This window comes from Homo sapiens, chromosome 17 (genome assembly GCF_000001405.40).
Source record: "Homo sapiens chromosome 17, GRCh38.p14 Primary Assembly".
Taxonomy (NCBI): Eukaryota; Metazoa; Chordata; class Mammalia; order Primates; family Hominidae; genus Homo; species Homo sapiens.
In genome coordinates, this window is record NC_000017.11 from 8,224,815 (window position 1) to 8,241,882 (window position 17,068).

The 17,068-nt window shown below is 49.7% G+C and overlaps 1 protein-coding gene and 3 non-coding genes across 19 annotated transcripts in view; all 4 read right to left on the minus strand.

Moving 5' to 3' along the window:
* Positions 1–17,068, minus strand: part of CTC1 (CST telomere replication complex component 1) — a 23,242-nt gene continuing 6,174 nt past the window's right edge. The window contains exons 3-23 of one of the 16 annotated variants that reach the window (XM_011524010.3): positions 13,578–13,815; positions 13,217–13,428; positions 12,561–12,600; positions 11,244–11,528; positions 11,017–11,145; positions 10,239–10,471; positions 9,935–10,112; positions 9,641–9,841; positions 8,092–8,218; positions 7,547–7,661; positions 7,089–7,413; positions 6,912–7,001; positions 6,462–6,655; positions 5,749–5,837; positions 5,480–5,654; positions 5,077–5,154; positions 4,488–4,632; positions 4,328–4,392; positions 3,913–4,078; positions 3,689–3,815; positions 1–3,505 (exon numbers count right to left, since the gene is read on the minus strand). In XM_011524010.3, the coding sequence (XP_011522312.1) occupies positions 3,366–3,505; positions 3,689–3,815; positions 3,913–4,078; positions 4,328–4,392; positions 4,488–4,632; positions 5,077–5,154; positions 5,480–5,654; positions 5,749–5,837; positions 6,462–6,655; positions 6,912–7,001; positions 7,089–7,413; positions 7,547–7,661; positions 8,092–8,218; positions 9,641–9,841; positions 9,935–10,112; positions 10,239–10,471; positions 11,017–11,145; positions 11,244–11,528; positions 12,561–12,600; positions 13,217–13,428; positions 13,578–13,815 (3,352 nt within the window). In that variant the 3' untranslated portion in view covers positions 1–3,365. Of the gene's footprint in view, positions 3,506–3,688; positions 3,816–3,910; positions 4,079–4,327; positions 4,393–4,487; positions 4,633–5,076; positions 5,155–5,479; positions 5,655–5,748; positions 5,838–6,461; positions 6,656–6,911; positions 7,002–7,088; positions 7,414–7,546; positions 7,662–8,091; positions 8,219–9,640; positions 9,842–9,934; positions 10,113–10,238; positions 10,472–11,016; positions 11,146–11,243; positions 11,533–12,560; positions 12,706–13,216; positions 13,429–13,577; positions 13,816–17,068 lie in introns of those variants that run through there. The other 15 variants (NM_025099.6, NR_046431.2, XM_047436799.1 and 12 more) reach the window with 15 other exon arrangements.
* On the minus strand, positions 1,421–1,494 carry TRT-AGT1-2 (tRNA-Thr (anticodon AGT) 1-2). Its single transcript has one exon. It is a non-coding gene; the product is annotated as a tRNA-Thr (tRNA).
* On the minus strand, positions 1,796–1,877 carry TRS-AGA2-6 (tRNA-Ser (anticodon AGA) 2-6). The gene has a single exon. It is a non-coding gene; the product is annotated as a tRNA-Ser (tRNA).
* On the minus strand, positions 2,177–2,250 carry TRI-AAT4-1 (tRNA-Ile (anticodon AAT) 4-1). The gene has a single exon. It is a non-coding gene; the product is annotated as a tRNA-Ile (tRNA).

The window sequence follows — 17,068 nt, forward strand, 5'->3', positions numbered from 1 at the left end:
AACAGCTGATCATTCGTTTATTTTATTTCATTTTTTTGAGACGGAGTTTCACTCTTGTTGCCCAGGCTGGGATGCAGTGGCGCGATCTCGGCTGACAACACCTCCTCCCCCCTCCAAGGTTGAAGCGATTCTCTTGCCTCAGCCTCCCAAGTAGCTAGGACTGCAGGCGCCTGCCACCACGCCTGGCTAATTTTTTGCATTTTTAGTAGAGACGAGGTTTCACTATGTTACCAGGTTTCACTATGTTGGCCAGGCTGCTGGTCTGGAACTCCTGACCTCGTGATCCGCCCACCTTGGCCTCCCAAAGCGCTGGGATTACAGGCGTGAGCCACCGCGCCCGGCCATACATGGCAAGTTTCTACATGGTGTTTCAGACTTAGCTGATCACCCTCTACCCTCAGGCCAGATTAGATTCCACTTCTCCCTGTTCTTACAGTGCCGTTAGTGCTGAAAGGGGAACGTGCCTTGTTCATTTGGTTCTGCACAGGGTCCAGCCCAGTGCTTGGCACAAACGTGGTCTCGGCAGTGCTGCATCCCTGGCTTGACCTGGAGGTAGCAATTCCTTCAAGCCATTTGCTCATCTTACATTGGTTCGTGGGCCATGGAATGGTGTCGAGAGCTTTCTGCCTATCTTCCAAGGAGGTTTAGGTCCTGCCAAGAGCTCACAGATCCTATTTCTTGCCTTATCTCTGGCATTTATTTCTTCCTTAACCAGCCTAGCTTCAGTGCTCCAGAAAAGTGCCCTGCCCTTCCACACCAGGATCCCTAGCGACTCCCGAATGATGCTTTCTTGGACTCTGTTCACATGGCCTCAGCCCTTCTGCACCCTGCTGCACGAAACCTGGTGCCAGGCCAGGCCAGGCCAGCCGGATCCCTGCTTACTCCTTACCCTGACATCCCGCTGGTGGAGAGGGATGGAGGTAACTGCAAGTGAAAGACCAGTTAGAGGACCGCATCTGGAAGCTGTGCCAAATTTTAAATACTGTATATTTAAATATATATTTTTATATTATATACTATATATATAACATTATGAGCCACCAAACCCAAAGAACTATAATGAAGAGCCAAACAAAACAAAGTGGCTCAGGTTCTAGGGGACGTCCTAGGGTGGAGAAAGAGGCCTGGAAGGTGGGCAGCCCCTTCCATCGAGGGTGGGGCGGCCGCCTGACCCAGTCCACCTGCACCAGTGGGGTGTGGCATCAGTTAAGCAAAGGACCCTTAGGCCTATGCAACATTTCTGCCCCTAAGTTAGAGAACCACCTTTTAGAGTGGCGATCTCATGGGAGTGGCAGCTTGACTCTGCAGGAAATGTGGGTGCTATGAGTGCAGAACAGAAACTCTTACGCGTTCTGATATAAAAACAATACATGAAAGGATGTGGATTTAGCCGCAAAATCACGCTGTTTCAATTGAATAAAGGCACCGCTGGGATTCGAACCCAGGATCTCCTGTTTACTAGACAGGCGCTTTAACCAACTAAGCCACGGCGCCGAAGCTGCCATAAAGGTTCCTGAAATTCATCTACAAGAATATAGAGCTAGGAACCCGGACCGAGCTTTTTCAGATCTTTCTAGAACTAATTTGGTAACTCAACTGGCTCTTGCATCACTTGTCCATTCCTCGGATTTCCTTCAATGTCCAAAGACGTTAATCATAGATTTCAAACCAAAATCATAGACTCTAAATCAAATTCTCGATTCTAGAGTTCCTAGATGAGAGGTTTGGAGGGTGCCGACTGGATCATCCCATCCTGGAGAGAAATATGGTCAGTATGCTGAAGAAAAAAATATGACGTAGTCGGCAGGATTCGAACCTGCGCGGGGAGACCCCAATGGATTTCTAGTCCATCGCCTTAACCACTCGGCCACGACTACGAGGCTTAGGGCTTCGTTTTCATCCAATGCCTTTCTTACTTCCCTTGACTGACAAACATCTGCCTCCATGAAAGCGCTTCAGGGAAAAAAAGACGCGGCGGTTGCACGTGAACCTTCCTTTCACCCGGGTGCCCAGAGACTCCTCCCTCCAAGCCTTCGGGAGCGCTAGTGATTCAGGGAATAGGAAGCAGTAGGTGCAATATAATTCTGTTACCAGAAGGCAACTGGCTCCGGGTAGAAACTTCCGGATAACAGCAGAGGGTCAGAAAACAAAACACACACAAAAAAAAGCCACCCACTGGCCCGTACGGGGTTCGAACCCGCGACCTTGGCGTTATTAGCACCACGCTCTAACCAACTGAGCTAACCGGCCACTAACTTTCCGGGTCTACTTCAAATCTTAATATAGGGTATTGCTACCATAAAAGCAGCATAAATCCCAACATATGGGTTTAACCACGCTCTAAAGGTCTCCCAAACACGAACAAATCCTAACAGCCAGGAAGAAATGGCCTCCCAGTAGCTCTGAAAGATGTGCCTCAGCTCATCTTTCCACCTCTCCATCTATCAGTCCCCAGTAAAGAAATGCAGCAACACCAGCCAAAGGCATTGGTATCTCCAAAGAATTGTTCCTAGATCCCCTAATTGTACGGTTGTGATTTCGGAGCACCTTCTGGTCTCAAGGTATATCGATCAAGGATCTGCCTTAGGCCAGGCCCTTGGGAAACCTACAGGGCTAACCGTAGCCTGGGGCCCTATAGCACAGTCACCCAGAGTCCTCACCTGCCCCTGCTTGTGCCTGGCACTTGCCTCCCCCTACACCTTCTTTGTGCTTGTGAACACCTCTAGGCATTCATATTTGACTTCCTGCAGGGCCCAGCCTTACTGACTGAGACCATCATAGCTATGCTCTCTGCCTTGCCGCCAACTCCCCAATTTACTTCCTTTACAGACTGATTTTGGTACCATTTCTTCTGCTGGACGAAAAGCTCTTCTCTTCCAAATCACTTTCCACCTTTGGCCCTGGCGGCAAAGGGCTGAAATGATGATGAACGACTAGGAGTTCCTAGGAGGTGGACAACTAGGAGTCAGGAGGCCTGGGACCCCAGAGATGAGTACCAGTGAGAAATGACACCAGAGGGCTTCATTGCAGGTCAATAGGCCTGTCACCATCACCCCACAGCGAGCAAGTCTTTTGTTCCCTCAGCTCCTGCGACAAAGTCAGAACCCAGGTGCTCAGGGCCGCCTGTGAATGCAGGTGCCTTGTCCCAATCAGAGGACATATTAATAGGGCCATGATTTCCTGTTGCCACAATTTTGCCAAGGCAGGCTGGCACCAGAACACCAAAGAAGGGAAATTATAGTGGAGTAGCAGTTTGTGAATCTGGAGTCCTTGGTTCAATCACAGAACAAGTAGGGAGAGGAGCCAGGACCTAGGCCTTCAGGTTTTCAGCAAGGAAGGACTCTCAGGCCATCCTTGCAGTTCAGTTAACAGGAGGAAGCAAGGATCCCCAGAGAGCTGGAGTACTCTGACTCTCGGATAGAAAGGCAGGACAATCGGAGCCTGGGGTTCACGTGAGTCAGGAAAGGGAGCTCTCCACACTGGAATCGCTGTAGCCGAGGAGGTTCTGAGGTGGGAAGAGAGGAAAAACACACGTCTCAGGCATGTGGCTTTTAGTTCCCACCCACCATTCTCCTCCCTAACTCCAGAAATTCCCCATCAGTCCCTCATCCCTCTTCCTCCCAGGGACCCATCTATCTCTATCACCATGATCCCCCTATCATCATGATCCCCCCGTCTCCAACCTTACCTAATGGGACGATCTTCGACGGTTTCCTTTCCAGCTCAAAAGAAAGCACAATAGGACGGAGGACAGAGGGGCTAGTACAAAGTGTCCAGAGGAACATGGTCATGGGCTCGTCAACCCTGGCTGAAGACTAGAAAGAGAAGGTCAAGGTTAACTGGCTCCTAAACCCTTTGCCAAAAGCCCAGGAATTTGGGTATCCGAGTCCCTCCCTCCCAGCCACATTACACCTCAAGTTGGGCTCCAGGCCCTGCAAACTGCAAGACCACTCTGCCTGGCACTTGGACGAAATCTAGGAGGGAGGCCCACTCTCTAGGACACAGCCCTAGTGCTGCTGCCACATGGTGATTCCTACAGGTCACCACGGCTTCGGCAGTCCCATCCTCCACCAGGAGCCTATGGGGAGCAGGAGGAAATAAAAACGCCTATAGCAACCCAGGTTGCCAACACCCTGGACCCAACATGCCTCCCTCCCCGCTGTCTGCAGTCTTTGGCTCACAGATTTAGGAGCTTACCCTCATTCATTCGTTCAAAAAATATTAAGCAATTCTCATGAGCCAGGAATTATGCTAATGTAGAAACTGCAGATAGACAAAGTGGTCTCATAAGTAAATGGCACAATGGGTGCACGCCTTGTGCTCTCACCTGATGATGGCCTGGCTTATAGCTGTCTGCGTAGGGCAAGTGGAGCCCAGGCGAGTGCACTTTCCCTGGGATGAAGACAGTGGTTGGAAAAGTCCTCTTGGTCCCATCACATCCCTCTGGCACTCCATACTCAGTTCAGCCTGTTCCTTCCCTCCCTTACCTGCCGGCAGATGCTGGTACAATAAGCACACACCCAGAAGAGCTGAAGGCTGAAGACAGAGACGATATGGCAAGAGGCAGTGGCCTGGAATGGGGACTGACCACCCTGCAGAAGTTCAGCCAGGTAGATGTGGGGCAGGGGAATGCTAAATAAATACAGGGAGACAGAGACAGGGGTCAAGATAACAGAACAGGCAAAGGGGTTCTGAAAGCAGGGTGGGTCTAGAAGGACTTAGAGGGCATCAGGATGGGGACAGCAGTGGGTTCCATGCGCTCCTAGAAGCCCCATTTTAATTCCTGATCTCTGATAGTCATTGGTTATTTTTCAGGTTTGAACACCATGATGTTAGCCAAGAAATATTTGCATGTTAAGACTGAAAAGCCTTCAAAAGCCTAGAACACTAAATGATTCTGGGTACAATGATAGACACAGAGCATTTTTTATTTGGAGTAGAGAAGCTCCTCTGACTCAACACATCTTGTTGGGATTGGAGAAGACTGTAATGATGGCAAAATCTTCAGAACCAGGGACATGTGGGAGATGCAGATGTGAAGCCAGGAAGTTTAGGGGTTGGGGTCTGGGCACTGACCTGATGGTGGTCTCAGGGGGAAAACTCAGGACCTGCACATAAGTGGATGACCGGAAACAACAATAAACATTGTGAGATCTGCAAGTGGAAGAGGAATAGTGAGTGACCAGGAAGACAAGGCAAATTGGGGTAGAAGCTGGGACTCAGAGATCAAGCACCACAGAGTGGCCACTCCCCCTGAGGGACATATCCTAGCCATGGCTCTACCAAAGCTAGGGGAAGACTAGGAGGAGGACCAGCCTGCAACACCTCGTGAGGGTACTGGCTGGGCACAAATGGCAGACTGATATATGGAAACCTGTATGAAAGAGAAGGGGTCGCTGCAGCAAAGTTAAGCAGGGGTGCACATTCCAGAGAGCCACATCAGTAGCAAGAGGAGGCAGGTGACACTACACATCTTCACCTGGAAACCCTTTTCTCCAACTGGCTGAAGTGGACCCGGGCTCCTGGAAGTAGTCCTAGTGAGGGAGGCAAGTGTGGGTCTTCTATATATACATCCAGGTGAGGGGGGAATTCACATTCAGCAGTCTCAAGAGCGACTGTTAGCTTCACACACCTTCTCATGGCCCCCGTGTTCCCTATAGAAGGAAGGTGGGTGTTAGTAGGATCTGTGAAGTCCACAAAGTCCCATCACTCTATTTCATACCTTCCCCACAAAGGAAGGGTCATTACCCAGTTTCATCCAGAGAGACGCCACAAGGGGTTCACATAGTGTCCGTGACAAAATCTCAGCGGAGAAAGACACCAAGGAATCTGTGAAACTGGAAGGTCAGGGAAATACACTGAGAATGGAGGCACAAGAAAGCACAGAGTGGAGACAGTCAGATTCAAGGCAGAAAATGGAGCTAAAGTATCTGCTAGAACTTCATATATAAAGTCCTGAAAAAACCTGAGCTCTGCCACACTGCACACTAAGAGTAACAGGGCCTATGGGAAAAAGAGGGTTGTGGCAGATCATTCAAAACCCGCACAAGGTGGCTCACGCCCCTAAATCCCAGCACTTTGGGAGGCTGAGGTGGGAGGCTCACTTAAGGTCAAGAACTCAAGACCAGCCTGGCCAACATGACGAAACCCTGTCTCTACTAAAAATACAAAAAAACTAGCTGGGTGTGGTGGCGTGCACCCCTATAATCCCAGCTATTTGGGAGGCTGATGCAGGATAATCCTTCGAACCAGGGAAGTAGAGGTTTCAGTGAGCTGAGATCAGGCCATTGCACTCTGGCTTAGGCAACAGAGTGAGACTCCGTCTCAAAAAAAAACAAACAAAAACAACAATAACAAAAGAAATACCTCCTGCAGCAGAAAATGAAGTCTTCACCAAACCCAGCTAGCTTGGGAGAAGAGAGAGTGGCCAAATTAACCAGAGGGGCTTGGTGGACATTTACTTGTCACTGAGCAGGTCGGTCAGTGAGGATTCAGGCAATGACTTGTTTGCATCCAGCACATCTTGGATATCCTGGGAGCTTTCAAGCTCCAGAGTCCAGTTGTCCTGGACAGTGAGGCAGGATGCACAGCCAGCCAACTCCAGAGGACGCCGAGATATGCAGGATGAACCATCCTTTTCAAACAACATTGGTGTCTGCACGGAAATGGGAAGACGACTGCCTGTGAGTGTGTGCTAGTCCAGTGGGAGGTTCACAAAACATTCTGACCCAATTTTGTTCTTTCTGGAGCATGGAGAAGGAAGTGTGTCAACACACACAGGCTTTCTGGTGTATCTAAATCCAGCCTTCTTCCAGGAGGCCTAGAGAATGACCAGGCACTGGCATGCCCTCTTTAGACCCCAACCCCAAAAAAGCTTTCTGGGGAAAGGTATGATGAAGTAGGACACTCACAGCGGGGCCAGGAGCTATGAGTCGGTACACCTGTCCCGGGTGCAAGAACTCAAACCAGCGGACTGAAGAGCCAAAGAAAATGAGGTGAACCTGGGAGGATGGAGAGCAAAGTGCTGGGATCCTAGCCAGAGGCTCAGGGCGCAGGTCAGGTCCTGGGTCCCTGGAGTCCCAGTTTACCTTCTGATCATTGTCGTCATTTCCCTGGGGCTCGGGCAGCCCCCATCCAGTACCCTCCTTCCTCTGGGTGCCCCCAAGCCAGCTCCCCAACACATAGAAACTGAGGGCGGGCTTGGGCACCTCTGGACTTGCTCCTGGGGGGACACAAAAATTACGCTTCATGAGGGCCTCCTTGTGGCAGAGCAAGAAGAGCCGGCTCTGTCCTAGGTGGGGTCCCTCTGGGCCGGTGGGATCTGTCTGAGGTGTTGAGGGTGTTGCTGAATGAAGGCAGGGTCTGGGCACAGGCAGGATCAGGGCATCAGCCAGAAAGAACTGGACATAGACTCTGTTGGGAGAGACAAGGAATACATTTCTTAGTGATGCAGGCATTGGGTATTTTGGTCCCCAGCATCCCACTCCTTCCACCAGGCCCTTCCTTCCCCCCAGACTCAAGACAACCATGACCCCAAGGAGCCAACCTGGCCTGCTGCTTCTGGATGAAGCCTGGCATGCTCAGCTCCTTCCAGGAAGGGAAGCTGCTTCTCACGTCCCTCTCTACGATCAACTGAAACCTCTCTGCCCGCACCAGGCAGCCTAGAGGAAGAAAGTTTTCTGTTTTGACAAGAAAGGAGACCTGTGGGGTGGGTTGCAAGGCAAACCATCCTACCGGCCTCACTACCCATCCCAGGCCAGAGCTGCTGCCCTCACATGACATGAAAGCCCACACCTGACCCCCACCTTAGAGGGGTGACACCTTCTCTCCAAACTAAGAATGTAGGAGACACAGTTGTAATCCTGGAGTGCATGTTAGGAGCTACGGTGGAGAAATGCATGCTGGAAATTCTGGCTAGGGGTCCTCTTGCTCCTGTTCTCTGCCTGCCATACAAGTCTCCCAGAAGTTGTTGATTGACATGTGTCACTTCTGCATCTCTAGTAAATCCCAGCAGGCTTTTCCTCCCAGGCTCCCCTGGCTATGAGAACCACCATCCCACTACCATCTTCTTTCCACATCTGAACTCCAAACCTATCAGCCGTGGGTCACTGAGGGGTTGAGAGTGCTTGGCCAGGAGCAGGCAGGGCAGGGAACCACTTTGGTCCCGAAGTTGCAGACAACCTTTATGAGATGAAGCCACCAGAACCCCAAGTAAAACCTGCAAGAAGATGAAGGTTGAGTTATCAAATGTTTATTCAGCAAATACTGAGCATCTACTATTTGCCAGATGCTGTATTACATGGTAAAGCTACAAAATGAACAAAAAAGACACGTCTCTGGCTTCAAAAAACTTATATTCAAGTGGGGAAGACAGACATAAAAAAACACACACGCATTCACACATTTAGTAGGAGAAGAGAAAGCGCACAAATAGAGGTTACAGGTAAGAGGCCATGCGGGATCTCACAGGACACAATGAGACGTTTGATTTTACTTTATATGCACTGGGAGGCACGCAAAGAATTTAAGCTGGGGCGCAGTGGCTCACGCCTGTAATCCTAGCACTTTGGGAGGCCAAGGCAGAAGGATCACTTGAGCTCAGGAGGTGGAGATCAGCCTGGCAACATAGTGAGACCCCATCTCTAAAAATTAAAAAGTGTAAAAATTAACCCAGGCCAGGTGCAGTGGCTCATGCCTATAATCCCAGCACTTTGGGAGGCTGAGGCAGGCAGATCACTCAAGTCCAGGAATTCGAGACCAGCCTGGGAAACATGGCAAAATCCCATCTCTACAAAAACACAAAAATTAGCTGGATGTGGTGATGGATGCCTACAGTCCCAGCTACTCGGGAGGCTGAGGTGGGAGGACTGCTTGAGCCCAGGAGGCAAGGTTGCAGTGAGCCAAGATAGTGCCTCTGCACTCTAGCCTGGGTGACAGAGCAAGATTCTGTCCCAAAAAAATAAAAAAATAAAATTAGCCAGGGACGGTGGTGAACGCCCGTAGTCTCAGCTACTTGGGAGGCTGAGGTGGGAAGATCACTGGAACCTGGGAGGTCGAGACTGCAATGAGCCATGATCGCGCCAATGCACTCTAGCCTGGGCTACAGAGCAAGATCCTGTCTCGAAAAAAAGGATTTAAACAAGAGAGTTCTGTAATACAAGTTTCACTTTTTTTTAAACTTCCTTTTTTTTCCTGAGTCTTGCTCTGTTGCCCCGGCTGGAGTGCAGTGGTGTGATCTTGGCTCACTATACTCTTGATCTCTCAGGCTCAAGCAATCCTACCTCAGCCTCCTGAGTAGCTGGGACCATAGGCACATGCCACCGCACCTAATTAAGACAACTTTTTTGTAGCAACAAGGTCTCTCTACCCAGGCTGGTCTCAAACTCTTGGGCTCCAGTGATCCTCATGCCTTAGCCTCCCAAAGTGTTGGGATTACAGGCATGAGCCACTGTGCCTGGCATATCCCCATTTCTAGTTGCTGCAGAGAGAATGAATTGGAGGGCCAACAACAGATGAAGTGGTCTGCTTAGAAGGCTAGTGTAGTCAAAATGACGAAGAAAGATAGTAACCGAGACTAGAGTCGTGGCAATAAGGATGACAAAAAGGGAAATCACCTGAGCCCTGCTAGGGTCCCCCTTACCTGGGCTGGGCAGAAGGCAGAGGGCAGCAGACAGAGCCAGGACCAAGCCAGGCGGCGATTGAGTTGGCAGCTGGGCAGGTAGGAGGCCTCCGGGAGGGGCAGAAGGGCCTTAGGGTCAAAGGAGGCCCAGGCCTTACGCTGTCCTTCTTCTTTCAGGGTGGCCAGAGTGGGGAAGGAGGAGGGAGTCTGCAGCCGAGTGTACTGTCAAGGAGGGAAGAGAAATCGGGTGTGTGTCCCATGGGCCCCAGGTGTCCTCCAGTGTTCTGCCACCATCCTTCCCCCACATCCTCATACTTTCTGGAGGGGACAGTGATGTGGCTCTTCAAGGATCTCATTGTGTGCATTCCGAACAGGGCTGCCTGGCGGAGCTAGAAGATCCAGGGTAGGAGCCAGGAGTTGCAGTCCCAGGCTGGGGCTCCCAGGAGAGGAATGTTGCAGGAACTGGTGGTGTCTCAGCACATGGGGACACAGCCTTGGCCAGGAAAAGCAGCACAGTCACTTCCCCTGAAGAGCCTGCCTCTTCAAGAATCCTGCTCTCCTTGCCAAGGAAGTGTGCTACTCCCACTGCCTCCCCGCCCTGGGCCCTCAGCCTCCTCACTTGCAGGCCAGCTCCTCCAGGGCCTTGGTAGCCCACAGGTAGAGGGGAAGTCCTAACTGACGTTCCCACACCAGCTGCTCGTACAGGGAGGCCCCGTAGGCTTGACGGGATGAGTGAGCCCCAGGCTTCTGACGAGAGAAGCTTTGAAGCAGAACGGCGCCACGGAGGCAGGGGGCGAGCACTGGCCTTCTTGTCCCCCCTCCCACTGACTGGAGCAGGTGAACATCCTGGAGCTGGGGGAAAGCAGAGAAAATGAAAAAGCAGAGATGAAGACCCCAACTCAATGAACCCAGGCAGAGTTAACCGCACTTTGCCACTGCCTGGGTTCCAGGAAGACGGAAAGCAATTTCTCCCACGTGGGCTGGCCTCACTTTCCATTACAACCCACTCCCGCTGCGGTCAGCCTTCATCTCCCATGAGCTCCACTCAGTCTTGCTGTGGGCTGGGTGGCTCCTGGATGAACAGACATGGCTGAGGCTTCTCACCGGGTCGCCTGAGATCACCCCAGCCCCAGATCTGTGCTTCAGCTATCTCCTCCTCCAGCTGAAAGGCCCTTCTGTGAAGGAGATGCTCTGGCCACAACTCCTCCTCACAGTGCCCAAGACTCTACTCCTTTTTATTTAAGCTTCTGTCCAAGTTATCCTTAGCAAAAGTGCCCCCTAACACACACTTTTAATTTCTATATTTCTATATAACCACCCTGCTGCAGAAAAGGAGCCTATGAAGGTAAGAGAAGCTGCAGAGGTCTCTTTTTGTTATCAGCCCTGATCTCACATACCTGCAGACACACTCCAGGTCGCATCACCCGCCTAAGGCCACGGAACTGCTGGTAGGCAAGGCAGAGCCCCAGCTGCCCATCCAGCTCATAGAGGCCAGCGGGCTCATTCAACACGCCAGTGACTGCTCCCTGCAAACAGGCCGAGGTCCAGTTGACCACTATTTTCTTCCTCTTTGAAAACCCACATTTCTGGCCCCTCAAGCTCTAGGATCTCTCCCTGTGCTCACCGAATAGGATAGGAGTCTAGAATACCGGACAAGACTTTCTGGATCCTTCTTGTCCTCCGAGTTGCTGGGCATGGGGAGTGGCTTGGGGTCAGCCTCTAAGAGGGGTCCTTCCAGCTCCAGTTCCAGCTCCTGCACACATTCTGGTTTCAGCAGCAACAGACGGGAGGACTGACTGGTCATCCAAACATGCTGGCGCTGACCACGGATCTTGGACACTCGCAGTTCTGTCAGCACATAGGCTGTACCAGGCCGAAGGGCTCTGTGCCACACCAGCTGGGCAGGGACCTGGCTTGTGCAGAGACAGGCAATGTGACACAAGAGACCCCAACACTGCCACTCTGCCAGAGTCCTTTTCCCTCACGATTTGAACTCAGAGACCTGCCCTCTGTGAGTCTCAACTCACCTCTCCATCTTCCCTATGTCTGCCAACTAAATCTTAGCGTCTCTCCTCTCTCACAGGAGATGCCAAATATTTCCAAACCACTTCCCCAACATACAAACCATCCCTAAAACTTCCTTCAAAATACATAAATATTCCACTGAGAAAACTGTGCCCTATCCCGCCCCATAACACACAAACAACATTCATTCATGTAATCAAAGTGTATTGAGTATATATGTATCCAGTATTGTGACTGATGTCAAGGGAAGTATGACAAACTGTTCTTCTCTAACACAGTAAGGCCCTATTTCTACAAAATACATATATTTTTAAAATTTCTATAAAAAGGAAAAGAAACATTATTCAGAAACTTATATGTCATAAAACAATGGTTAGAATAAAGATCAATGATTTACAATTTCTACCTTGGGTACTATGCTCAGTACCTGGGTAAAGAGATCAATCATACCCCAAACCTCAGAATCACAAAATATACCCAGTTAATAAACTTGCACATGTACCTCATGAGTCTAAAAGTTGAAATTATAAAAATAAAATTGTACCAGTTGATGCAAAAAGAGTCAACAGTAAGTACCAAGTTTTTTTTTTTTTTTTAATGCCTGTATTCAATGTCTCAATGGTGTTAAGATGAATGATTTCTTTGGTCATCTCCACAAGTGAGCGTGGCAGTTTTTTAAAAGGTCACATACAATCTAAAAGCTGTGTGCTCAAGTGAGTTGCACAGCGGGAAAGTCTACTCCCTAACTCTATGCACAAACATTTCCCGGAATCTTCTCCCAACAGCGCTATTCCAGAAAACAGCTCTCCCCAGCTGTCCTCCTTTCCTACATGGCTCCTCCTATGATGCTATCTTTCCTACTGAAAGTTCTACCACCCTCCCCCACTTCCATGGCTGAAATGACCCCAGTCCTCACCTGCACGATGATGGACACGTGGGTGACAGCTGGGTGTGATCTACCAAGAGACAGGATGAAGTAAGCTTTCTGTTTACTTTTCACCAGAGCACTCAATCGAACTAGACTCCCAGCCAGGTTTCGCTGCACACCTCTGAGCTTGTTTCTAAGAAGGAAGAAAAAGCCCTGTAATCCCAGCTACTCAGGAGGCTGAGGGAGGAGAATCACTTGAACCTGAAAGGCAGAGGTTGCAGTAAGCTGAGATCCCGCCATTGGACTCCAGCCTGGGCAGCAGGAGTGAAACTACGTCTCAAAAAAAAAAAAAAAAAAAAAAAAAAAAAAAAAAAAAGCAGCAGCAGTCATCTTTATTTCTCTTCTTTTTCCCTATAAATGCTGTCCCTTCCACAGTAAAGAATAACCTGGTAATGATACAAAATGTCCATAGCCCAAAGCAAGCTATGCTAAAAACCTTCAAAATTCTCTTTCCCTTAGGTAAGGCACAGATCCCTTGAACAACCCTTCTCTTTACCTTCTTAATATTCAAAGCCCACCATTCCCTTGATTTGGAACATTCAGTCTATATTACTATCAATGCCCTTTTCTTTCTCTCCCTCCACTGACCCAGCATCATCCTTCAGTTTTACAGCGCCCCTGCCATGCCTAGAGGGGGAAATTACCTGAGCCTGAGCAGGCAGGAAGCACTCTCTGGGTAGAGGACAGGGATAGGCGTGACGGGGCCAGGACTGATGGTCAAAGGAAACACTGGCACAGGGGCATCCCACAGCTCCAAGTGCCCTTCCCCTGAGGAATTCCACCTGGCAGGAGGGAGGTAACTCCAACGGGGGAACAGAAAAAGATGGCCCAACCAAGAAAGGTCCAGGTCTATGAGCTAAGAAAGACCAAGAGCAAGGGTTAATCAGAACCTTAGCATCCTATCCACCCACCTCCCCGTTTGTTTCCTCAGAGACTTAATTGCCTTGATCCTTGGACACCATTCTTGTCAGGATCTGAGGCATCTGATCTCCACCTTCCACTCACCTCACAGCTCAGGACGCCAGTGTTATCTCTCACATAGAGGCTTCCGTTCCTGCACTCTTGTTCCAAGTCTGCCGATAGGTCTGTTAGTGTCCCTAAAAGTAACAGCTGCTCTCGGGGCAGGGGGTTCCCATTTGGTCCAGCCTCTTGGGCCCAGGCCTGGTATGCACTACTGCTCCACGACAGGTGGCTGCAGCATGGGAGACGCTGGTGAGTCTTGAGGTCCTGTACTGAGACGAAGCTGTAGAGTGAAGGGAACAGAGGTCCTGCAAAGCCAGGTCCAAGCCTACTAAGGCAACCCTCAACCCTGATAAACCCTCAAGAGCCCAGGGAAAGGTTGCAGGGAACATGGACTAAGAGGTGAGTTTGATTGATTAAAGGGGTAAAACCTGGGGCTAAAGGCCTAAGAAAATAAGGATGGGGCCGGGCGAGTGGCTCACACCTGTAATCCCAGCACTTTGGGAGGCCAAGGCGGGTGGATCACCTGAGGTCAGGAGTTTGAGACCAGCCCGGCCAACATGGTGAAACCCCATCTCTACTAAAAATACAAAAAATTAGCCGAGCATGGTGGTGTGCAGCTGTAATCCCAGTTTCTTGGGATGCTGAGGCAGAAGAATTGCTTGAACCCAGGAGATGGAGGTTGCAGTGAGCTGAGATCACGCCACTGCACTCCAGCTTGGGCAACAGAGTGAGACTGTCTCAAAAAAAAAAAAAAAAAAAAAGGAAAAAGAAAATAAGGATGGGATCTGAGTCCAATTCCGTGCTGAATAGTATCTTCAACAAGATGGTGCCAGGGAGAGGACCCAGAGAAATGAAGTAGGAATGCATGAGGGGCCTGAGGAAATGAATGTGTGGGGAGAACACTTTGTAAGTAACAAAGGCAATTCTCTTGAAAGCATCTCAGCTCTTAACTCCAGAGAGAACTTAATGGGACCACGTAGGCATCTAACAGTCCAACTACAATGACCCCAGTCAAGCTCCTTTCTAGTCTAGAATAGCACAGTACTAGAGACTAGGGGGGAAGCTGAGGCTGAGATGTGGGTGTTGGATGTGATACAAGTAATGGTTAAATTATCAACGTTGTGATAAATTCACCTTTTTGTAATACCATTATTCTCGCTTGCATTCCCCTGAATTTTTTTTTTTTTTTTTTAGACAGAGTCTCACTCTTTTGCCCAGGCTGGAGTGAAATCAAGACTGAAATCTGGAACCCTCTCCAGATGGGGTTTCACCATGTTGTCCAGGCTGGTCTCAAACTCCTGACCTCAGGTGATCCATCTGCCTCAGCCTCCCAAAGTGCTGGGATTACAGGCATGAGCCACTGTGCCCGGCCCCATGATTTTTTTTAAGTGGAAATGAAAAGGATCGAGTTACAAAACATCACAATTAATCCTCCCTGTTGGACTCAAGAACATTATACACAAATGAGTATCAAAGAGAGAGAATGCTGTTCTAGAAAGCCATTCCCCTTCTGCATCTGCTCTCCTTCCCTGACAGCTTTGGAGAAGACACAAGGCAAAGACAGAAACTAATACCTGTTGGCCCCTGCCATGCACGCTATACTATACTGAGTCTGGTCAGGCACAACGCTGAATTTTCTTCACCTCAAAACCCTGTAAACACCACCAATGGGGAAACTCAGAGGCTCAGGTACACAGAGGCATGGGTGGCAAAGCTAGATGTGCCTCATTCAAAAGTCCATGTTCTTTCTCTGTGTTTTCCTACTTATCTGAAGGCCCAGGAAAAAGCAACCAGAGAGAACTGTCTCTTTTTTTTTTTTTTTTGAGACAGAGTCTTGCTCTGTCGCCCAGACTGGAGTGCATTGGCGTGAACTCGGCTCACTGCAACCTCCGCCTGCCGGGTTCAAGCAATTCTCCTGTCTCAGCCTCCCAAGTAGCTGGGACTACAGGCATGTGCCACCATGCCTGGCTAATTTTTTGTATTTTTAGTAGAGACAGGGTTTCACCATGCTGGCCAGGCTGGTCTCGAACTCTTGACCCCGTGATCCACCCGTCTCAGCCTCCCAAAGTGCTAGGATTACAGGCGTGAGCCATCCATTGCGCCCAGCCAAAAAAAGTAATCTTAAGTGTTATGGACGTGGACAAGAATTATAGGAAAAGAAAGGAAAAACAGTCCAGTGAAATAAAATGATAAAAAGGAAAAAAAACAAAACCGTGTACAAGTACCCTCAGAAATTACTTTGGAATTAGGCCAAGCGCAGTGGCTCATGCCTGTAATCCCAGCACTTTGGGAGGCCGAGGCGGGAGGATCACCTGAGGTCAGGAGTTTGAGACCAGCCTGGCCAACATGGTGAAACCCCGTCTCTACCAAAAATACAAAAGTAGCCAGGCATGGTGGCGAGTGCCTGTAATCCCAGCTATTCAGGAGGCTAAGGCAAAATTGCTTGAATCTGGGAGGCGGAGGTTGCAGTGAGCAGAGATCGCGATATTGCACTATAGCCTGGGCCACAAGAGCGAAATTCCATCTCCAAAAAAAAGAAATTACTTTGGAATTAATGTAACAAAATATCATTTAATGCCTACCAAATAGGGAAAAATAAATAAAAATAATTTTTTAACCAAGGTAAACACAGGCTCAAGATATGCATATACACTATGGGCCGGGCGCGGTGGCTCACGCCTGTAATCCCAGCACTCTGGGAGGCTGAGGTGGGCGGATCACCTGAGGTCAGGAGTTCAAGACCAGCCTGGCCAACATGGTAAAACCCCATCTCTGCAAAAATACAAAAACTAGCCAGGTGTGGTGGCAGGCACCTGTAATCCCAGCTTCTTGGTAGGCTGAGACAGGAGAATCGCTTGAACCTGGGAGGCAGAACTTGCAGTGAGCCGAGATGATGCCATTGCACTCCAGCCTGGGTGACAGAGCAAGACTCCATCTCAAAAAACAAACAAAAAAAGAAGTATAATGTTAAGCACAAAAAGCAGGCAGGGGCTGGGTGCAATGGTTCACACCTGTAATCCCAGCACTCTGGAAGACCGAGACGGCAGATCACCTGAGGTCAGGAATTCGATACCAGTACGGCCAATGGTGAAACCCCATCTCTACTAAAAAATACAAAAATTAGCTGGTGTGGTGGCGCATAGTCCCAGCTACTCAAGAGGCAGGAGAATCACTTGAACCCAGGAGGCAGAGGTTGCAATGGGCCGAGATCATGCCACTGCACTCCAGCCTGGGCAACAGAATGAGACTCCGTCTCAAAAAAAAAAAAAAAAAAAGCAGGCCAGGCACGGTGGCTCATGCCTATAATGCCAACACCTTGGGAGGCCATGGTAGGAGGACTGCTTGAGCCTGAGGGTTCGAGACCAGTGTGGCATGCACCTGTGGTCCTAGCTATGTGGGAGGCTGAGGCAGGAGAATTGCTTGAGCCCAGGAGGTAAAGGCTGTGAGCCATGTTTATACCACTGCACTAGAGCCTGGGGGACAGAGTGAGACCCTGTCTCAAAAAAAAAAAAAAAAAAAGCAAATCACGGAGG